The following is a 25,246-nucleotide window of genomic DNA, read 5'->3' on the forward strand; positions in this document are numbered from 1 at the left end:
TCATTAGTTAACCATTGCATTCTTTTAGGTTTCTTTTCTCTACTTTTCCTTAGCTCTTTCAAAATTTTCTCAAATATAATGACTTGGAATTTCCTCAATAAAATAATAAATTTAAAAACAAGCTCTCTAGTCTTCAATACACATTTTAAACATGTTACCCACACCTGAGCACATATTCCATTAATTGTCTCATCATGAAGAAAAAAAAATTAGAACTGTGATTTCTCATTTTAGAGAAGGTTGATTTAGATTTTTTCTATATCTACATGACATTACTGATACACACTTCATTTACTCTCAAATATAATCCACTAGTTGATCCATAGTAAAGACTTGCAATAAAAACTTAAAGTTTATTATCCACAACTATATATATATGTATATATATAATATTTTATATTCCAAATGTGTCTCATACTCTATTGATGGTTAGACATCAGTGGTTCTATAAACATTAGTCAATATTTAAGTGATGAAACGGAAAAATAACAATTTGTACCAAAGCTATTTTATAGTTTCACTACATTGTAGGTCCAAATCCATGCAGTAGTTTCTGAACTGCTTATTCCCTGAGTGAATCACGTTTTACATTTAAAGGTGTAAAACATTTTTGTTATAAATGAGATCAGATCTGCCTCTAGGAATTAAATAAAATGAAATGTGTTTTATAAATACTAGTTTATTTCATAAAAATACAAAAATATAAATATACATTTATAAAAATATGAATGAATTAACACAAAGACATTCTTCAACTAAATAAATATGGCAGTAATAGTCATTCCTATTTCATTAGGGATATATCTTCTTCATATTAATTTACAAAGCGGTTGCACAATATTTAGTTTAATTGTAAAGGTGACTGAAAGTCAGTTAAGAAAACATTTATAAATTATTATACCTAAGAAAAGGCACAAAAAGCCTTTTACTTATTTTTATTGATTATTGATGTGATATATTTTCCTTCCGAGATTGTTAGGCAAAGAGGGTGAACTGGTTATTACTTTTTTAAAAATCTGTATCATTCGTATTCATTCACAAAGACTTACTGATTAAGCAAATCCCTACTTGACAACATCTACGTATTGTTTGTAACTTCAATTTTTGAAAGATTTCCTCCCAGGAAGAGAATGCAGGCCACTCAATCTAATAACATAGACAGTACTTCCACTAATATTGATTAAGTCAAACAATCCTCTTAGTCTCGGTCACTATCATCACCCCCATACATATCGGCAAGTTTTTTGAAACGAGGCCCCCAGTCACTGAGGTAATCATAATCTTGGTTACAATCAGCTGTGAGAGATTCCAAAGAACTGAGCGAATCTGCTATGGAATCATTCCCTTCATAGGCATACGTTGCCAGCGAATCATATGGAGGTGCACTTGGGTCTGCGTCGTTTTCTTTTAATCTTCGATGGATAAAATCTTGTACATCAATATTTTCCCACAGAGGCACAGTCCTCCTTATCTGAAAAATAGTTTCAGGCATTACATCCCGTCTAAGTTTACTGTCTTCTCTTGCCTCTGGATTCCTTAATGTGCCAATGTCAAAAGCTTGGGTATCTTCTTCCCCGCCGCCTTCATCGTTGTAGGTCACAATGTTGTCCCGGACATCGTCTTTTGAAATTATCAGAGGTTCCTTTTTTCTTTGCCTCTTCAATGCAGCAAACAACACGACTAAAACTATTAATAAGAAATGGGAAAATAGTGAGATTTCATGAGTCAGGATAAAATAGAGTACACTTCTGAGTGTGAAATTCGTTTGGTGCAGGAGATATTAAGATTGATCGAATAAAAAGAATTAACTACCCTGTACAAATACAGAGTTCCTCTAGGCAATGACTGGATGCACTGTATTGATAAAGGAGCAGATATTACCATGCCTTTAATTTACTGTCAAGACATACTCTCCTATGAACTTCTGGCTTTATTCAAGTACAACTATTATATTTATCCAACTGCAATTGCCTGACACCTCAGCAGTCTTTCCAAATGTGCACTCATTTCAAATACAAAAACACTAAAGCTCTACTCATGGTGATATTGATCATTCCTTTCACTTTGGCACAAGTATCATTTCTTAATGATTCAAGGGAATATATGCAAAACATTACTCATATATAGATACATATATACTTGTATATGCATTATATTTATATATTATGAGTGTACATACACACATACATGAATATGTATGAGTCACTGATTTTACCACTTCCCGTATCTCATAGGTTTAACTAAATTCCTTTACTGGTCTAATTTTATAGGAGGCTTAGAAAGCTGAAATATAACTCTAAAAGTTACAATATAAAACTCAAACTCAAACTCATCTTTAACTTATCGTGCAAAACACCTCAGACTGTATCTTGTTAATGAGGACTTCCTTGACATACAAGGTCCGATTTAAGCTTTTGGAATGAAACGTTAATTGTATTCCCTCTATTTGCTGTATTATTTTTATTGTTTACATGTCTATGTTACATAGTTAACTGTGAACTTCCCCTCATATAATATATTTTCTTATTTCTCATTATAATACTGGGATTCAAATTATGTGTACTGGAAGATGAACCTTTTTCTAATAAATGCATGTTGCAATTAATAAGATTCATTTTAAAAGAAGCAAACACGATTTTAAAAATATAAATTTTCCATTAAAGATTGCACAAGCCCATAGCTTTACATATAAGAAAGGTGAGAATAAAACCAAGAAAATATCTTCAAAACACACTTCAGCATTACCAGGGAAAAATACAAACTAGATTTCCTTTACTTTAGGGTTCTTAACTGTTTGTCAGTATTATTTATGCTTCACAGAAAATAAGAAAATGTTGGCTGAAGAAGCTATTATTCTTTTTCTCAATTTTTACATTGAGATTAAACAAAGCATACTCATTGTCATTGAGACTACACTTCAACATGGCCCGTGAGGCCCCTATAACTACACTAAAGCCCTGTCCAGTGTTATTTTCACATTGGCCAGCAGACTTTTCTCAGCTCTTCCTAACTGAAAGTAAGATTTTATGAAAGATAATTAGAAGTATCTGTAGTTAGCCTTCACAGAATGGGCTTTGGAAGCTGAGCTATATTCAGGATCATCTTATATATATATATATATATATATATATATATATATATATATATATATATATATAAAACTGCAGTAAAAATGAGACCTCTGTACTCTTCTTTTAAAAGATGGACATAAGATTAATTAAGTCCAACATAGATCTGACATCTATCAAATTTGAGCCATGCACTAGAAAAAGAGATTTCTTTCTAAATTTAATATTAAATAAATTTATAAGTTCTCCACTTTTCAATCAGTAAAATAACAATTGTGTAGTCAAATTGTATTAAGGGTTTCTCAACTAATAAAAATGTACTAATTCCCACAAATGGTCCTTAGAATCTGTTCTGAGCTTTTCCTTTTCTACCGTATTAAAATTATCCGATCATTTCTTAGATTGAGGTTATTAATCTGGGGCACGTGAACAGAATTCAGGAAGAATAGGATAAGAAATGAAAAAAAGTACATCATTATTTCCATCCATCTGTAACTCAAATTTAGCATTTTTTTCAATAGGATTATTGGCATAAACTATGGTGATAGTGGCAGTGTGTGTGACAGATATTTCATATTGCATTACAGTTTGACAGATAAATCAAACCATAGTTAGACTTGCTCCAGAACACAGCATGTGTGATTTGATAAGCAAGCACGGTTTTCTTTGTGTTTTTTGTTTCATTTGTGTAAGCGTATTTCCTTTTTGTCTTACATGTTTTACTCTAATAAATTTAAATCATCATTCTGGCTAGATCCATTCTTTTCATCAGGCTGAAAAGTGTCCCTACAACCAAAAAGTTTAAAAAGCCCTGCCCTAGATTTTAATCTTCCATCTTGCCTTATAAAATAGATATAAACTAAGAGCTACATTTCTTCAAAATGTACGAAAGTACATTTAAAATATTATTGTCAGTGCTATGTCACTATCTTATGAAAAGCAAACTCTCTTAACTATAGAAATGCATTAACTACGTCCAGCTATTACCATAAAGACTCAAAATAACAATAAAGTGCTTTAATAACTTTGCAAATATAAATTTCTAAATTAGAAGCAATTTTAACTACAATAATAAAAAATTACTCCACATTTAGGCAATGAGCTGGGAAAGTGAAAAATAAGAAATTAGTGCTTTCCATATTGCTCAAGGAACAAAGGTGGCTGACTGCAGAACAGAAGAGGAAACCTTCTAGGATTTCTGCATAGAAAAAAATAGTATCAAATTAATTTGACAATGTTAAAATATCTAAACTGATTTGGGGGGATGCTTTCAGTTCCCTATGTGTGCATGACTGTCTTTGTGTGTATGTGCATTACATTAATATAGAAATTTTAAAAATGATCTAACAATAAACATATTTACATGTTGTTCTAAATTAGGAAAGTGGAACTTCCTGAGCGAATAAAACAACGTGAAATCAGTAGCACTTAGCTAAAAGGCTAAGCCAAATTTTTATCTCCATAGGAATATAAAAATATTTTACAGAGGAGTTGAACTCTCTAGCAGTAGGTGGGGATTGAAACTGCTGATGGTGATGGTAGCAGTGTGTTTGTTCTAAACCACACTGAGAAAATGTTTTTCAAAATAGTTGGAACATCTTAACTGAGACAAATGTTTTTCCCTCACTTTCATCAATCCCCTACTGAAGTCCTGCAAGGATATCTGGCCAAAGGGATTTCATCCAGATAGCTTGAAAGGATTTGCAGAGAAAAGGAGCTAGCACATACGAGCATTAGAACATAAATTTGGCTAGCTCTCCTGCCCTAAGCATAAGCATTTGGGCTGAATATTTGATAGAAACAATTTTTTGGGGAATGTTTTCCAGTGGAACAACTGTTTAATTGAATTAAATCGTTGTCCTGTTAGTGCATGCTCAAATAAAACATTCGCTGTTGGAACATGACTTTATTTAGAAAATATTGCAGGGCTAGGTAGGACCACAGCGACATAGTGATATTTTTTAAAACAGAATTTTAATTTTTTAATTTGTTATGTCACACCAATGCACAACAAGTTATATAGGGGAAAATGTCTAACTTACTGTGACAACTTTAACACATTTGCATGTTAGACATCTGATATAGATAATTCAGAATATGTTAGTAACTGTTAACAGTTAGTAACTATAAGGGCAAAGTAGTCTTTGGTTTGGGAATAATAGAAAGGAGAACTCTATGGTAGAGTAATCTGTGTTTGAATACTAGCTAAAGCTTTTCCTAAATGAGTGACTGAGTAAATTATGCAGCCTTTCTCTAGAAGAAAAGTATTTACCTTATACAGTTGATGCAAAGATGAAATCAATGAAATCAAATGTCCTTAGAACAGTGAACATAGTCAAAAATATAATAGCTAATGCTATAAAGTATATATTTTTAAATACGCATGTGTATAGCATTTGTTAGATGTTTCTTTTTGGTCTCTGGAAAGCTGGGCCTATCCCCACACACAAAAACGCTTATTTTTTCCTAATTGAAAGAAGAATTTTAATAAAAAGTGAAAATGTTCTATCTTTATCTATAGAGAAAATTGTTATTCAGTGCACCATGCTCAGACAGTGAGGGAGAGATTTTTGTGAGTTAAAGGATCATTCAGAGGGGCAGAGCTTACTAAGCAGTATGAGGACACAGAGTAGAATCGCAACGAGAGCTCCCGTGCTCAGGCCGGCTGAAAGGATCAGGGCTTCTGCGGTGCAGGATTGCATGTTTCCTTGATTATCGCAGGCACACACACGGATAGTGAGTGTACCAGTGCTGCTTTGAATTGGATAATCGTTGTCAAAGATTAAAATCGGCAATAAGTAGGTGCTCATTTTGTTGCGACTGTAGCCATCTTTCCGAGTCATGATTCCTGCTGTATTATCTGGGGGAGAAAACATGTAAAAAAACAAAAACTTTCATATTTGTTTTTAACTGTGTATCTTAAAGTTTCATAATTTTTAGTTTTAGAAATTTTCTTATACCTTTATTATCTACAATGGTGAAATTCGGATTGAGAGTAAATTCTGGCACTGGTTCAAAAAAGAATTTGTGACCTCGGGGAGGGTCATCCTTATCCATGACACTGACAGTCTGAATCAACTGAAACCAAAATTAATTAATTAATTAATTAAGCCTAAGGCAATGTTCTTGTTATTACAAGATATCTTAAATCCATGTATTTGTGCTTTAAATACATCACGAAAACAAAGCAAGAAAACAAAATAAATGCCATTTTCAGAAAATTATGCCAATGTCTTATTTTTTACAGTTTTGTCTTAGATAACTTATTTAGTTAAGAGTGGAAGACATCCATTAAGCAATGGTTTGCAAGGTATCTTAATGCATTATTGTCTTATACCTGGCCAGCTTAAAGAAAAATTCAATCCCTCCAATACCTATCCTCTTTTGATATTGTTGAAAGGCACAGTCCATTGTATTATTAATTGATGAGCAATCTGTTACTTCCACTAGACAATAATTCTTCAAAGGACGAGTACACAGAAGATGCATTTTTAAAAACACCAATGCTTAGCACAATCCCTCCTATATATTAACAATATTATTAATATATTTTTAAAATAAATAAATTTGTCTGTACTATCAGAAAGAAAATGATTTTGAAGCTATGGACACCATTACTATAATTGAACTATTTTATTTAAATTGCTTGCTTTTCCTTTAACAGTATTTGCAAAGACAGATATACAAAGAAATGCTTTTAAGATTTTGTAAAATCAATGTTGAAGTTTCAAAATTAGAGCACCTCTTGGCTGAGCTAGTGTAAGTAAATAAGAAGTGTGTCCTAATGGAATATGGAACAGCCAACTATGGGTTGGGCAGAAAAATTTCACTGAGCATTTTATAGTGGAAAAAGCACTGAGCTACACATTGGGTTGCCTCCCATCTGTGTGATTTGAAATCACAGCCATTTAATTACTCTGACTTTTAACGTTCTCTTCTACAAAAATAGACAGGTCTCATAGTCTAACATTGTGTGGTGAAAAGTTATTGAAATTCACAATAGTTTAAGCTTTCCATTGTTTTACTGTATACCTTTTATAACTATACTAACCTACATACTCACTAGTCAGTGTTATTTTCACTTTAATTTTATATTAATGATAATTACATCATTTTGACAGCATGATATGTAACTGTATTTTTAATAAAGTGCTTTTGAAAGTGCACAATGCACAATTTTTAATAAACTTTTCTCCTTAGAAAATTGGAATATAAGAAAATAATTATATAGGATCTAATATTTTTGCTCAACCTTCTGTTCCTACATAGCAATAACAAATCTAACTTTTAGTAATAATTTAAATCATAAAAAGTTGGTCTTTTAGTTATATATGACATTTGAAGTCTTGAAATTATTAGATGAGCTTTGTATAAGTATATTTTATGAGGATATACATATACTTAAAATCTATTTTATTTTTAACTTTGTTAAATTCAATTAGGGTAATATATATTAAATAATTATAATTAGTTAATATTAATTATACTTAATTTCTATAAAATATTAGCATATAATATATCAATAACACACATGAATCAGTAAAAGACAAGCATACTGATAGATAAGTGAGTAAAGAATATTTATATGTGATTGTAGGTTGACTTGTGTTCCCCCAAAATATCTGTTCAAGTCTTAAATCCCAGTACCTGTGAATGTGGCTTATTTGGATATAGGCCGTTTGCAGATAAAATCAAGTTAAAATAAGATCATTCTAAATTAAGGAGGACTCTAATTCGATGACTGGAGTCCTCATAAGAAGAAGCAAGTTTGGACACAGAAACAGATACAGGAAGAATGCCATGAAATGATGGAGACAGAGATTGGAGTAATTGGCGTCCACAAGCCAAAGGATGTCAAGGATGGCTGGCAAGCACATGAAGCTAGAAAGTGCCAAGGGAGGATAGTCTCCTAGAACCTTTAGAGAGAGCATAGATAGCCCTGCTGCGTGTTAATTTTATACTTCCAGCCTCCAAAACTATGAGAAATAAAATTCTGTGTTTTAAGTCATTCTGTTTGTGGTAATTTGTCATGGCAGCCCTTGGAAACTAATACAGCTGTAAATTATTTTTAAGTCCACATTTTTATGAAAAAAAAATGTTTGGCCTTAATGATTTTAAAAGAATTCACACTAAAAGTGTTATGAGAAATTTACATATTGGCAGACATTTAAAATCTAGAGTTGCCAAGTACATAGGCAATCATATGTATTTGGTGGGAATATCACCTAGTTTACGACAGATTTGGAGAAGTATTTGGGAATAGTTATTAATATTTATAGATACAATTTAATTTTTCCTACTTTGAGAATTATATCAAAAGAAAGAGTACCAGGTGGTAAACAAGCAAAATGTACTACAGTGTTCATTATAGTATAACTGGGGTACTGCTAGGGTAACATTTTGTGGATAAACCAAATTTCCATTAAGAAGGTAATAATTGAATAAGTAATATGTAACTATGTTATGAAAATTAAGCATCAAATTCAAAAAAATCATTTACTAAACTGAGATGCCCATTATATGTTGCAAAATGAAAAAGAAAAGCACATTTTTATCCAAATAGCTATGTGAAAATTCCATGTTATTACAAATAAAAATCTCATTTGCATTTTTGTATATGTAGGTGGAATGTACTGTGTATCTCTGTCTTAGTCAGCTGGGCTGCCATAACAATCCCACACACTCAATGGCTTAAACTACAGAAATGCATTTTCTCATAGTTCTGGAGAATGTAAGGTTGAGATCTAGAGGCTAGCATGGTTGGCTTCTGGTGAGGGCTTGCAAATATTAATAGCTACCTTCTCCCTGAGTGCTCTCATATGGCTTTTCCTTGGCCCACGAATTCAGGGACAGGGAGAAAGAGAGAGCATGAGCTCTCTGTTATCTTTTCTTTGTATGCTAATTCCATCAGATCAGGCTCTATACCCTTATAACTTCACTTCATCTTAATTACTTCTTTGAAACACCATCTCCAAATACAATGACACTAGGGTTACATTTTCAAGATTTGAATTTGGAGGAGGGCTACAAACATTCAGTTCATAATATTCTCTATTGGAATAGAAGAAAAACTGTATTTCAGTTTATTTTCTACCTTAAAGAGACATGACAGAATTAAAGATGATTCTTAACATCTACCTATTTTATCTTTAAAGTAGTTAATTACATGGTTAAATTACTTTTGGTAAAATTTATGCAGTTACTGTTATTGAAAAATACTACATTTTTTTGTCAAAAATGAGCATATTCTGCATTTATTTAGAATTACTTTATATACATTTGAAAGAATTACTTTGTAAGAAGACTTCATAATTCTTTTACAAACAAATCTACTTCATTTCAATGATATGAAACTTTAAAACTTACAAAATATCACTCATATCAAAATCTGAAACTATTAAAAGTGGCAAAATGTAATCAAGAAAACAATGATTATGATTACCTTTATAATAACATGAAACAATTTCATTTTCATACTTCAGGTTTTATTTAATGATATATTTTCATTCTATTAGTGAAGATAACTCAGCATAAGCATAATTATGAATGCAGGTAACAGCTTCTACATATGTGATATTCACTATAAACCTAGTATATAAATTAAAACATATGTTATAATATTCCCTACTATATTATTGATTCCATTATAAAAACATTTTTAAATCACCTTTTTAAAAAATCACTGTGAGTTCTTTGTTAAGGATAAATGGTGGACAAGAAGTATTGACAACAGCCTGCACAAAAGAAATCCTGCAAATAAAGTGATGTAATGTCATTTGACTTTGTAAAGAGAAAATATATTCTTTTAAGTTTTTAATGATTTTATTTACCTGCCCAGGTTTTGCATTTTCACAAACAAATGTTTCATAATACATGGCAAATTCCGGAGCATGGTCATTTATATCTAGAATTCTGATGAAGACAGGGATGTGGCTACTTTGTTTTGGGTTATCTGCAACGAGAACACGTGTAAGATTTCAGTCTCATTTACACAGAAGCAGTGAAACCACTCACCCATTTGTAGCTTAGCAACAGATCCTTTTTGTGGTGTTCACTTTCTCAATTGGGCTGCTGATGAATATCTCAGCTCTCTTACATGGTCCAAAAGAAAAGCACAATAAAATTGAGGAAAACATAATTGAGAATGAAGTATTATTTGTAATAGATAATTTTCTTAGATTATTTTTATGAGGTTAAATTATATTTCTCTCCTATATAAGGTGTAAAAGAAAATCAAATTTGAAATGAATGATTTGATAATCCTTAAAAATAATTTAAAAATGTGTTGATATTCTAAGCCATTTCTCTAAGATCTTGCTAAGGATACAATCATACCACTCAAGAAAATGAGTCTAGCTGGTGCTATTATTTTACCACTTTGATGAAAGACAGTGTCTTCGGGTAGATGTAGCTCCAACTTACTTATTTCTGTGGCTGTAACAGTGATGTTATGCCAAGGAGATGATTCCCGGTCAAGGGCTTTCAAAGTGAAAATAGAACCATTTTCTGAGTGAATACCAAAAATACGGTCCATATCAGTATGCCGATCAACAGAGTACCTGGCAGAAGACAGACTCATAAATCCAGGCATTCTTCTAAGGTTATTAGTTCTACTCTTTCTTAAAGCTATAGGTAATTTCCACAATGATCTGACAAAGACATGAAATGCAAAATGCTAACAACTTTCTTGAATTTTTATTTTATAGAATTGTTATTTGAGCAATTTCATATGTTTGACTCTTTCTACTTACTATATTATCCTATGTGTACTTTAGAACTGTTATTTATACACATGAATCTGGATGGCAGCTGTTAAAGTGAGTTCTTAAGTATCACTTGGTTCACTTATCCTATCGTAGGCCTACTGCAGTGCTTGAGACACTTTAAACAGTAATGTTAAACTTGACTGAGTCAATAGTAATGAATAAATCGAAAGTATGTTAAAAAATACATAACTGTGTCCAGAGTCCTCTATAAGTGAATATCGAGAAGGCTATTATAAAATACATCGCTCTTGAATGTTTTTTTATTCAAGGAATATCCAGCTGAATCAAGGTCTTTCTCTACTCTATCCCTCCAACTTATTTCAAATCAAAATGAAATGTTATATCACCACAGAGTTCTGTGACTTTCTCATTAGGGCTGTATTTGGAAGAGGTCATTGTAAGCTTTGTATCTTATTAAAGATAAGACTCTGCAGTTGGCAAAATAATATCTCCTCTCCCTAAGATGTCTATACCCTAATCCCCAGAACCTGTGAAGATGTTGTTTTACACAGCAAAAGTAATTTTGCAGATGTGATTAAGGTTAAAACACTGAAACAGGGAATTATCCCTGATTATCAAGGTGTGTCTAGTTTAATCCTATGAGCCCTTAAAAGTGGAATGGGAAGACCAGGTGCGGTGGCTCACGCCTGTAATCCCAAAATTTTGGAGGCCGAGGTGAGTGGATCATCTGAAGTCAGGAGTTCGAGACCAGCCTGACCAACATGGTGAAACCCCGTCTCTACTAAAAATACAAAAATTAGCCAGGCATGGTGGCAGACACCTGTAATCCCAGCTACTCGGGAGGCTGAGGCAGGAGAATCACTTGAACCCAGGAGGCAGAGGTTGCAGTGAGCCGAGATGGCACCACTGCACTCCAGCCTGGGTGACAGAGTGAGACTCCATCTCAAAAACAAACAAACAAACAAACAAAGTGAAATGGGAAGGCAGAAAATTGGTTTAGAGAGATGAAACAGAAGAAAAAAAGAGAAGAGATTTGAAGACTAAGAAGTACTTGACCCATTGTTGCTGGCTTTAAAGCTGAAGGAATGGAGCCACAAACCAATAAAAAATGAACATAGGCAGCCTCTAAAAACTAGGAATGGTCCTTAAGCTGACATCCAGCAAGGAAACAGGGGCCTTCCCCACACAACTGCAAGGACTTGAAATCTGTTCACAACCTGAATGATCAAGGAAGCAATTCCCTGCCTAGAATATACGGAAAGAAATATGGCCCTGTTCACACCGCCCACCTTGACTCTAGCCCAGTGAGACACATACTGAACTTCTGATCCACAAAAGTTCAGACCTATCTATAAGATAATAATACATTTATAGTATTTTTGTGGCAGCAATAGAAATCTAATATATCCTTAAAAGATAAATTTTTGAAAAGATTAATTTATATGAAAGTCCTTCAGTTACATCAGACCATGTTATGCCGTACTAGTTAATTTTTTACATCTTTGTGAGATTTCTGTTGCAGTCTTTAATTGAGCCATATCAGAAAGTGAGTGCTTCTCAAACATTAACATTTAGGTGAATCACATACGAATCCTGTTAAAAACAGAGTTTGATTCAGTAGGTCTGGGGTGGGAGCTGAGATTGTGCATTTTTAACAAACTCTTAGATGAATCCTATGCTGTAGCTCCACAGGCTAGGTTTTATATAGCAGTTTTAGGCTATGGGATGAAGTGATTAGAATAAGAACGGAAACAGGAAAAGCAATGCAAGACAATTAACAGGCTAATCAGCCTCTGCTGTAGTCCTCATTTTTCTAGGTATCTTATTAAGGCATCTTATTATGAACTCCCTTTTGATCAAGTGAATTGGGAAATTACAGCTCCCACTGTAAATCTTAAATATATTCACAGTTTGGTGCTGGCTTTGGCAAACATAAGTAATAGACATTTAGGTTTTGAAACATTATGAAGTACTGGCATTTTTTTGTTGTTGTTGTTGTTTTTCTTTTCTTTTTTTGAGACTGAGTCTCACTCTCTCGCCCAGGCTGCAGTGCAGTGGCGCGATCTCGGCTCACTGCAAGCTCCGCCTTCCAGGTTTCCGCCATTCTCCTGCCTCAGCCTCCCGAGTAGCTGGAACTACAGGCGCCCACCACCATGTCCGGCTAATTTTTTTTTGTATTTTTAGTAGAGACAGGGTTTCACCGTGTTAGCCAGGATGGTCTCGATCTCATGACCTCGTGATCCGCCTGCCTTGGCCTCCCAAAGTGCTAGGACTACAGGCGTGAACCACCACACCCTGCCAGTATTGGCAATTTTTAAATTATTGGGTGAACATACATTAACCTAAATTGTATGATTCTTTTGTTTGAATTGTTTATTAAAGGACATACTATTTAATCTATTGTTTAAGAATTATGCTGAACTTAAGGGATCTATTAAGTAAATGGGTCTGATCATAATTTTAACAATTTAATATAGTACATGAAGATGCTTGCTTAATTTATTTTCTGCTAAATTTTATAAAACAATTATTGCTGAGTCATAGATACTGCTTCAAAGAGAGTATTTGGGCCTTTGGAAAAAAGTTATTTGGTGTCATCTCAGTGGTGGAATGGCTAAAAACTTATATACTTGGTCTCAGGTTTTACCTCACTCCCAGTACATGGAACCAGTTCAGTTGTCTCTGTTTTGTCATTCAACAGGATTTTACAATGCACAACAGAAGTACATGCAAATGATAGTATTCCCTCAGTTTTTCAATAATCGTTATTGTAATCTTTTCACATGGTGTTATGAAAAGAATTTAGGCACTTAAAATACACTCATTTGACATATGATTGCTGCCCAAGAGTAGCCTATATTTCTTGGGTGGGAAGTCCTAAGGCTATAAAGGAGAAATAGAAACCTAGATATAAAAATATGTAAGAATGCATAACAGCATATATATATATTTTATTTTATTTTATTTTATTTTTATTTTTGGAAGCAAATGTCATGCTGGCTTTTAGCCAACAATTGTTTGTCAGAGTATTATCAGAGATAGATCCGATTTGCAAAATAACAATGTAGTAAAATTGAGCATGCAAGTCATACTGAAATTTTTCTTTTAAACCTCTATTTCCAGTTGTGCTAACATGAAACAAAATATTATGTTTCCTACCTATAGGTTTCAACCCTTTCACAATTCCTGATGTGGGCTTTATTGATGTTGGGACCAAATCACTATTATAAGGTTTTTGAGAGAAAAGCAAATAAAGTCATTGGAACAACAAAAATATTTTATTTTCCTTAGCTACACAAATTCTGCTTATGAATAAAAACAAACCTAAAACGTACACAAAGAAAGAGGAAGCAAAAGAACATAATTACATCTGTGCATTGAATGGAGCTCAATTCATAATATTCACCTGTAAATATTTCTCTCTATTGTTGGAAAGGTCAATAGTTAACCATTACCTGCTTATGTCTGAATAGATCTTGGATTTCTTCCTGCTGTTTGCATTGAAGGTCAAAGAGGAAAATAAAATTTCCTTTTGTGCTCATTGCTAGCTGCCCTAGCGTTTAGCCTAGAGATTTTGATGGTATTTCTATAACTGAGGAATAGCTAACAATTGCAACATGATAAAAATCAAGCTTTGATACACTTGTATCTTTTTTCAGGATCAAAATAGATTTGGGTTTCTGGCCACCTTACTCTTAGGTACAACCTTGAAAGACACTGTTTTTCACTTTAAGAATTCATGAAGGCACTCACAGACGATACAGAAATAGCTCACTTTTAACTTTGACAGCGCCAACTTCCAGGTCTATATTCAAATTTTTGTTTCCAGTGCAAGTGATGTCTCACAATTTGTCAAAGCTCAGAGATAATTTTCTTTTATTTAGCAGCCAAACTTCTATTTTCACCCAGAATAGCACATTCAGATTTACTTATTAATAATAAATACATTGGATTACCACAAATGACCAGAAAGAGCCTGATAAACCCTTAACACAGAACAAAGCTATCTCTATGTTCCAGCAGATGGCCTACTATAACAACAATATTTTATTGGTCCCCCTGCATTGAATTTTGAACAATCAGTTTAAAAAGGCCATTGTCATAAGTTTTGTATAAATACTCTCTGCAGAGACAGGATCCAATCATATAGGCATCAAATAACATGTGAAAGAGAGCACAAGGGCTCTCTTCCCACAAAAGCTGAACTCTGCTTTTCATTTTTCTTATTTGCTTTATATTTTTATGTTCTACCATTAAAAGTCAAGCATGTATCATATATCTATATTTTTACCTAGCACAAATAATCTAAACTCAATTATAGACACCAGAATAAATGAGTAATATGCAGAAATATGTCAAGAATGCATTCCTTTTTCTCTGCTGGATTCCATATATTTCTTCCACTGACTAAGTCAATTTAGGTAGGACATAATTTGCTTTTTACTTTTCAGCTACTGCTTTCCAGAAACATGTTTTCATAGCTGTGACCTAGCCATTCATTATCCCTCAAAAATGAATATTGAGTATTAGCTATACAATGACATTATTTATAATTTCATTTGAAAAAATAGTTCAAATCTTTTTTGCAGAGATTAGTGATATTATTGTTAGATTATTATTATTTTACCTTTTGCAATAAAATCAAGCAAATATGAGAGAAGCACCACTATACAGGAATGCACTTACACATTTATTCCAGTTTATTTTGAAGTCATGGACATTTTATTGAGGCATAATTAAATCCCTCACCAGAAAGTTTGTTTTGTTACTTTTCAATTCCACAGCAGTAGAAAGGATCTTTTAAAAATCATTGAACTTTAAATACGTTAAGCATAAAATAGGTGTAAAATGAGGCAACATGTTATTTCAGATCTTGTAAAGCTATAATCAACCCTATAACTTTGGAGATTCGTGATTACTAATGAGGTGAAGCAGAGCTGACAACAGCTGCTAATTGTAACCATAATCTCATGTTGCAAGTGGCAGATGTATTTCAGAAAATATATTTGATGAACAGATTTAATCGTGGATGAGAATTAGTTCCCAATCTTTCCCTGGAAAAATGTTTCTCTGTGATGCTTATCATAGCCTATTTCTGCTCTGAGATCAGTCATCCTTCTAAATTTGATCGTAGCAAACAAAACAGTCCCATGCTACAATGTTGCATTCTTGTTGAATTATTGCTGATTTTTCTTCACACTATAATTGGATATCTAAGGCTTTTTTGCATACATTTTGAATGCTAACAGAAGCCATCCTCTGTGCTATGCTTTCCGGTATGGCCTTGCAAATTGGCAGAATTGGTAGTACCATCTGAAGAATACAATTTGAGATTAATTTCGCTCAATATTTTTCCACTCCTTATAATAATCTTGAGATGCTACAGGTGAAATTATAATTGATTATTTCTAGGACTTGAGTACCCTATACAAAACAAAGATTTCCGGATGACCTTTAAACTGAACTTTTTTAAAGCCATTTTTTTAAACACTGGGAAGCAAGTTTGCAAATTTTACTATCAGTCTTTGAATGAGAAATTTTACTTTTGAAATTATATCCTTGGGAAATTATCAGATACAGGAGAGGTTTTATATACACACATGGAAATTATCAGATATAGGGAGATTTTATATGCACATACACACCAAGTATATGTGTGTATGTAAAGATTGTATATATCTCTAATCTAAATATTTATTTATGATGTATAATATACATGATAGTATATCATTTATACAATAGTATGAAATGAAATGAATTTCATTTCATTATAGAATAGAATGAAATGAAAATTTCATTTCATTATACAATAGAATGAAATGAAAATTTCATTTCATTATACAACAGAATGAAATGAAGGCAGAAATAAATAAGTTATTTGAAACCTATAAGAACAAAGACACATATAACAGAATCTCTGGGACACAGCTAAAGCAGTGTTTAGAGGGAAATTTATAGCACTAAATGCCCACAGGAGAAAGTGGGAAAGAGCTAAACTTGACACCCAAACATCACAATTAAAAGAACTGGAGAAGCAAGAGCAAGCAAATTCAAAAGCTAGCAGAAGACAAGAAATAACTAACATCAGAGCAGAGCTGAAGGAGATAGAGACACAAAAAAACCCTCAAAAAAATCAATGAATTCAGGAGTAGTTTTTTTGAAAAGATTAAGAAATAGGTGGACCACTTGCCAGACTAATAAAGAAGAAAAGAGAGAAGAATCAAATAGACACAATAAAAAATGATAAAGGGAATATCACCAGTGATCCCACAGAAATACAAACTACCATTAGAGAATACTATAAAAACCTCTATGCATATAAACTAAAAAAACTAGAAGAAATTCATAAATTCCTGGACACATACACCCTCCAAAGACTAAACCAGGAAGAAGTTGAATCCCTGAATAGACCAATAACAAATTCTGAAATTCAGGCAGTAATTAATAACCTACCAACAAAAAAAAAGCCCAAGAACAGACGGATTCACAGCCAAATTTTACCAGAGATACATAGAGGAGCTGGTACCATTTCTTCTGAAACTATTCCAAACAATAGAAAAAGAGGGACTCTCCCCAATTCATTTTATGAGGCCAGCATCTTTCTGATAACAAAACATGTCAGAGACACAACAAAAAAAGAAAATTTCAGGCCAATAACCCTGATAAACATTGATGTGAAAATCCTCAGTAATATACTGGCAAACTCAATCCAGCAGCAAATCAAAAAGCTTATCAACCACGATCAAGTTGGCTTCATCCCTGGGATGCAAGACTGGTTCAATATGCATAAATCAATAAAGTAAGCCATCATATAAACAGAGCCAATGACAAAAACCACATGATTATCTCAATAGATGAAGGAAAGGCCTTCAATAAACTTCAACACCCTTTCATGCTATAAACTTTCAATAAACTAGGTATGGAGGGAACGTATCTCAAAATAGTAAGAGTTATTTATGACAAACCCACAGCCAATATCATACTGAATGGGCACAGGCTGGAAACATTCCCTTTGAAAACTGGCACAAGACAAGGATGTCCTCTCTCACCACTCCTATTCATTCAACATAGTATTGGAAGTTCAAGCCAGGGCAATCAGGCATGAGAAAGAAATAAAGGGTATTCAAGTAGGAAGAGAGGAAGTCAAATTGTGTCTGTTTGCAGATGACATGATTGTATATTTAGAAAACCCCATCGTCTCAGCCCCAAATCTCCTTAACCTGATAAGCAATTTCAGCAAAATCTCAGGATATAAAATCAATGTGCAAAAATCACAAGCATTCCTATACACCAATAACAGACAAACAGAGAGCCAAATCATGAGTGAACTCCCATTCACAATCACTACAAAGAGAATAAAATACCTAGGAATAAAGCTTACAAGGGATGTGAAGTACCTCTTCAAGGAGAACTACAAATCACTGCTCAAAGAAATAAGGGAGGACACAAACAAAGGAAAAAACGTTCCATGCTCATGGATAGGAAGAATCAGTATCGTGAAAATGGCCATACTGCTCAAAGTAATTTGTAGATTCAATGCTATCCCCATCAAGCCACCATTGACTTTCTTCACAGAATTAGAAAAAACTAGTTTAAATTTCATATGGAACCAAAAAAGAGCCCTTATAGCAAAGACAATCCTAAGCAAAAAGAACAAAGCTGGAGGCATCACGCCACCTGACTTCAAACTACACTGCAAGTCTTCAGTAACCAAAACAGCATGTTACTGGCACCAAAACAGATATACAGACCAGTGGAACAGAACAGAGCCAGCAATAATGCCACATATCTACAGCCATCTGATCTTTGACAAACCTGACAAAAGCAAGAAATGGGGAAAGGATTCCCTATTTAATAAATGGTGTTGGGAAACCTGGCTAGCCATATGCGGAAAACTGAATCTAGATCCTTTCCTTACACATAATACAAAAATTCACTCAAGATGGACTGAAGACATAAACGTAAGACCTAAAACCATAAAAACCCTAGAAGAAAACCTAGGCAATACCATTCAGGACATAGGCATAGGCAAAGACTTCATGACTAAAACACCAAAAGCAATGACAACAAAAGCCAAAATTGATAAATGAGATCTAATTAAACTAAAGGGCTTCTGCACAGCAAAAGAAACTAGCATCAGAGTGATCAGGCAAACTATAGAATGGGAGAAAATTTTTGCAATCTATCCATCTGACAAAGAGCTAATATCCAGAATCTACAAAGAACTTAAACAAATTTACAAGAAAAAATGAACAATCCTATCAAAAGGTGAGTGAAGGATATGAACAGACACTTCTCAAAAGAAGACATTTATGCGGCCAACAAACATATGAAAAAAAGCTCATCATCACTGGTGATTAGAGAAATGCAAATCAAAACCACAATGAGACACCATCTCCATCAATTAGAATGGCAACCATCAAAAAGTGAGGAAGCAAAAGACGCTGGAGAGTATGTGGAGAAATAGGAACACTTTTACACTGTTGGTGGGAATGTAAATTAGTTCAACCATTGTAGAAGACAGTGTGGTGATTCCTCAAGGATCTAGAACCAGAAATACCATTTGACCCAGCAATCCCACTACTGGGTATATACCCCAAGGATTATAAATCATTCTACTATAAAGACACATGCACACTTATGTTTATTGCACCACTATTCACAATAGCAAAGACTTGGACCAACCCAAATGTCCATCAATGATAGACTGTATATACACCATGGAATACTATGCAGCCATAAAAATAATGAGGTCATGTCCTTTGCCGGGACATGGATGAAGCTGGAAATCATCATTCTCAACAAATTAACACAGGAACAGAAAACCAAACACCACATGTTCTCACTCATAAATGGAAGTTGAACAAGGAGAATACATGGACACAGGGAGAACATCACACACTGGGGCCTGTAGAGGGTAAATGGAGTTGAACAATGAGAACCCATGGACACAGGGAGGGGAACATCACACACCAGGGCCTGTCAGGGGTTGGGGGAGCTAGGGGAGGGATAGCATTAGGAAAAATACCTAATGTAGATGACGGTTTGATGGGTGCAGCAAACCACCGTAGCACGTGTATATCTATGTAACAAACCTGCCGGTTAAACACATGTATCACAGAACTTAAAGTATAATTTAAAAAAAAAAAGAAAAAAATAAGCAAAAAATATATAAAACCAGAAGTTAGTTTTTTTTGAGAAAATAAATAAATTTCAAAAAAGTTTTGTCACACTGATCAGGATAAAGTAGATAAAAGTTAACAATATTAAAGATAGCTTTCATCACTACAGATATCAAAGGATAATGTGAAAATATTTTGAACAACTTTATGTTAATACATTTGACAACTTAGATGAGATTTACAAATTCCCTGAGAGATAAAAAATTAAAAACAAAACTTAGCTCATTAAATAATTAGATAACCAGAATAATTCTGTAACTACTAGAGAAATAAAATATGTAGATACAACTCATATAAAAAGCAAAATTACAGCCCCAAATATTGTCATTTTTAAATCCTACCAAACATTAAGGAAACATTCTAATTCTGTGCAAACTCTTTCAGAAAATTAAAGAGCATATTATATATCCTACTGTATTCTATGAAGCAGTACTTCCATTTTACCAAATTTAGACAAAAACATTACAGAAAAACAAAACTATAGAAGGTATCTCTTATAAGCGTCATGCAAAAGTGACTAAGTGGCTAATTTATTTTACAAAATAAATAGCCTTGGTGACCTTGAAGGGGCATCATGCCTCTTGCAAGGTGCCCAGCATTTACTGAATTCCTAATAAGCAAATATGCTAGATGAATGAAGAAAAGATAACATGGATTATTAAAAAGATTTGGTCTCATTCAGACTCAAAAATGTTCAATTGTCCAGCAATAACATGTTTCATCATCTAAGTTGATATGATGTCATTGTTTACAGTTTTCCAGTAATGTGTGATTGCACTGAAACAAGTTACAATCAATTACTTCTAAAATGAATGTAGGATTTCTAGCATAAAAATATGGTGCAACAGACACTAAGGAGAAATCAAGACACAACCAACATTGATGATTTTTTTGAAACATGACAAATACTATAAAAAAACAGACACTTGTTGAGCATTTGTAGCTACTGGTATGACCAACCCCTTGTCCTTTAAAAAATAGATGAATACTTTTATTTCCATTTCAGTACTGCAGAAAACATAAAAATAATTTACACTCTTTTCTAATAAACCCTCATACAAAAGACACCAACAAGCACTCATATACCATTTCAATAAAACACAAATCTACATTGCTTTGGATATGAACACGCTAGTGCATATACATTGGTCATTGGACGGCTAGATTAATTTTTCATTTTATTTCAAGAGTTTTACTTTAAGCAATATGAACATTTTAATTAAGCATTTTATGTATCATGGTAAAAATCCTGCCAGAGGTAAATAATCTCCAATAATAACAAGAAGGTGTGTTTCAAAATGATGTTAAACAATATAACAAGTACATAATTTGATACTGATAATGTATTTTTTTAAAACAGATGTTTAGTGAATTATACTGTAATAAACCTAAAACTAACCCTAATTTTCAATCTAATATAAGCTCTAGGCATTAACTACACATTGGATTTTATGGACTGTTTCTTAATTACAAAGGTTAACATGTTCTTAATCTCACCAACAAATTAAATCATCATTAAAATATATTTAGTGCAACAAATTGCTTTATGAATTAACATATTTGGATAGTCCTAAAATGAAAATTAAATGGTTATATATTTAGTATTGTGATTATTAATATGCTATATGTAAAGGACAACATGAAAAGAATTTAACCATTTTCCCTAACTAATTAAATGTTAAGCAAAGTAGAATTTTAGATAATTTATTAGCCATATATTTAACAGATTATTGTATTGTCTATCTCTTCAGCTGTCTATATGTTCCTCCACACATCCACCTATCATTATTCATCCCATGCATTAATCTATATATGCCCCAACTATATTTAAATTCCCCTTTGAACAATATATGAGATTCATTTATATTTCTGACATATTTAAAACCTTTAAAATGGTGAAAACTATTCAAAATTTGGAAAGATATGCTATACAAATTAATACTTTTACCTTTCTTATTCACTTAAATGTCATATCTTTAGTAATACTCTGTTATGAGAATATAATTGACATAATATTCTTCAAAAATTTTGATATGTGTTAGGCCCAACAATTTTCAAAAGAAAATATTTCATATTTTCTAGGAAAACATTTTTTTCTAATTTATTTATTTAGTTCCTTATTAATTTGAACTTGTATTTAACCAAGAGGGACAATGAGACAAGGACTACGGCAACAATAAAGGTATTAAAATCATTGACTCTGGCATTAAACTGCCTGGTTCTTAAAATCAGCTTTGCTAATAAACAATGGGCAAATTACTTAAGTACTTGGTGCCTCAGTTTTATCCTCCCCAAAAACAAATTATAATACTATCTACCTTGTACCCAGAGCATTTCAAAGACAGCCAAGCTAAGAATTTGTTCTCTGGAAGTGTTTGGTATTATTACTGTGCTTGATTATACATTGTGCAACCATTTTTTCACACAGTTTGTAAATAGTGAGATTATTGGTATTATTACTGTGCTTGATTATACATTGTGCAACCATTTTTTCACACAGTTTGTAAATAGTGAGATTATTATATTTCTAAAAACATAATAAATGTTTTCAAAGTACTTACTTTATTAAATTGTTCCTGGCATCTGGATCGTATGCTGTAACCTGTCCAATGATACTGCCCTCCTTTACATCTTCATCTACTTCTATCAAGTAAGAGACTTTAGTGAACACAGGAGGCTCATCTATATCTTCCACAGATATTTTGACCACAGCTGTATCTTTGAAAGGTCCCAGGTGTAAGAATCGTGGATCAGGGTGAGTGTTACTTGCATCCACTCTTAAAGTATAGAGCATTTGATTTTCAAAATCTAAATTCTGGAGTTAAATAACATAAAAGAAATTAGCATAATTCAGAAGATATGACAATGAAAGACGATTTCAAATTTTAATAGCCAGCGATCATGATTATACCAACAATTCTATTTAAATGACAATGATTGCTTCATAGGTATATGAAATAAATTTATAAATATATGTTTTGCCATACACTTATTCACAGAGGGTTAACTTAATATAATGGCATACACATTGAGATTGATTCTCACTTAGTAATATGCTTCATTTTTTTGGTGACAAGTAAATGAAGTATTATCTAATGGATTTATACATTATGTATTATCATTATTAAAGTTATGCAGTTATAATCAGAAGAAAAATATAAAATAGAAGTATAGAATAAAAATTATTTCTACTTCAATTATTTGAGCACTTGTGGAAAGTAAGATATGAATAAAAAGTGAAATAAGGACAATATGAAATGATAATATTGAGCTCTATTATTAGATGTAAAGATTAAGAATGTTCTCCCACATTGCATTGAAAATCGAGGCAACCAATGGAAAACACAAAGCATCTTCAGGTTTTATTTATTTAAATATATCATCACACTTACAATGAAAATATTTTGAAAAGTGCATGAAATAATGATGGCTGTGTGTTTATATTTTCCTCTATGGAGAAATACAAAACAAGTACCTTGAAGTTTATCTAATTTTAATTTGACTGTTTTCTAGTTTTAGCATGAACAACTGAGGTTTTAAGTGTCAATTATGAAGACATTTAACTTGCTTGAAGTGATATCACAACTATTCTCATTTATCTGAAGGATAGACAGCATGTAAAAGATGGGGGAAAATAAATCCCAGGCTTTTTTTCCCTTTACTGAAAAGCAAACGTAAATTATAAAGCACTCAATGAAAAGATGAAGACAGTGAAAAGAAACCTGTTTGACAGTTATAATCCCTTCCTGTGTATCCTTGTCAGTGATGACATCGAACATGTCTGCACCATCTCCTTCAGCAATGCTATACTCCATTTCTGCATTTTCCCCCACGTCAGGGTCATTGGCTTTTATCCTTCCAAGATGAGTTCCAAGAGGTACAGACTCAGGAGAATTAAATTGATACGTACCTATAAATTAAGTAAGAGCTGTTTTGACATTTCATCTTTATATAACATTTTTTCATTTCCTCTGCATTTTTAACTTAAATACATTAATTTTAAATAGGGAGAGTTTTTATCATATTGAATTGTAAGCTGTCAAAATTGTATATTTATTAATTTGGAAAAATAATTTATAAAACAGAACACTCTCATTTAGTAAATGAGAAGTGTAAGTCCCAGAAAAAAAAATTAGAGAATGTCCCAAATTTATTTAGACTATAGATGGTAGGCCTGATATAAGAATCCAGAACTTTTGGCTTAAAAGAACATGAAAAACAAATATTTACTGCTCATCTGGGGCTTTCAAAATGGTCATCACACTTTTTTTTTTAACATGTATTCAATTATTTTTTTTAAAATGCATTTATTATTTTATTCTAAATCAGGAATAAAAAATAATGCCATACAGACCAATGTTTCTTTTTTTTGCTGTTTGTTTTAGTTTTAATATCTTTTAGTGGGGCATGGATGTTTGTATTTTTTGTAGGTTCAGGCAAGTGTTATATTGTATTCTGGTAACCCTAAAAAGCATTTTAGTTTGTGGCTACCTATTCAAGAGACAATAGAAAAAAGAAAACTTTAATGTTAATGAAGGTCAGAAATATTTTTAAACATTTACAATGTGCTGCAGTCTATACAAGGTCTAAAGGCTTATATGCTAATTTATTTAATCCTCACACTAGTCCTCAAAGGACCAATTTAGCTATATCATCTTCAGGGGCAGGTCTTAAGGAAATTATCCTGCAGACTTGGGAAAGGGAGGATGCAAAAACTAATTCTTTCTGACTTCAAAGTCTATATTCTTTCCAATTTATTTGGTGGTTAAGAATATGAGTAAATAAATTCAACTGCCTGGGTTTGAATTCTGACCACCTGGCCAGTTAGTTAAATTCGCTAAACTTTGATGTCTGCGTCTAAGAAATAAGGATGATAATGATAGTAATTCACTCATAGGTTTGTTTTATGGGTTACAAAAATTTAGTTCTGGGTCTAGTCCTTAATATTTTATTATTACTCTTATAGTTCCAAAGTTTTGTTAGCATTATTATAGATAACAGAATTACAGAATGTCAAGGCATTAAAAATGCATCGAGTCTCTTTATAAAGGAATATGAATGCAAAGATTAAGTTTATGTTATTTAGGCTTATTATTTATGTTCTCAGCAAACTTTATTGTTTTACATATAACATATGAATATGTCCACCAATCAAAGATCAATACAACATTTTAAATATAATTGGCCTGGAAAAATGTTTTACTGTATTGAGATTAGCGATATGAATTTAAGTTTCAGCATTTAATTGAATATTTTGAAATAGGGGTCC

General features: G+C 32.6%; 1 protein-coding gene across 1 annotated transcript in view; it reads right to left on the reverse strand.

The window, feature by feature from the left end:
• The window catches only part of CDH9 (cadherin 9), a 157,990-nt gene continuing 133,403 nt past the window's right edge, over positions 660 to 25,246 (reverse strand). The window contains exons 6-12 of the mRNA NM_016279.4: positions 23,700 to 23,887; positions 22,539 to 22,792; positions 10,491 to 10,627; positions 9,899 to 10,020; positions 6,029 to 6,146; positions 5,677 to 5,928; positions 660 to 1,686 (exon numbers count right to left, since the gene is read on the reverse strand). Of these exons, the coding sequence (NP_057363.3) occupies positions 1,199 to 1,686; positions 5,677 to 5,928; positions 6,029 to 6,146; positions 9,899 to 10,020; positions 10,491 to 10,627; positions 22,539 to 22,792; positions 23,700 to 23,887 (1,559 nt within the window). The 3' untranslated portion in view covers positions 660 to 1,198. The remainder of the gene's footprint in view (positions 1,687 to 5,676; positions 5,929 to 6,028; positions 6,147 to 9,898; positions 10,021 to 10,490; positions 10,628 to 22,538; positions 22,793 to 23,699; positions 23,888 to 25,246) is intronic.

The sequence above is a fragment of the Homo sapiens genome, chromosome 5 (assembly GCF_000001405.40).
Source record: "Homo sapiens chromosome 5, GRCh38.p14 Primary Assembly".
NCBI lineage: Eukaryota > Metazoa > Chordata > Mammalia > Primates > Hominidae > Homo > Homo sapiens.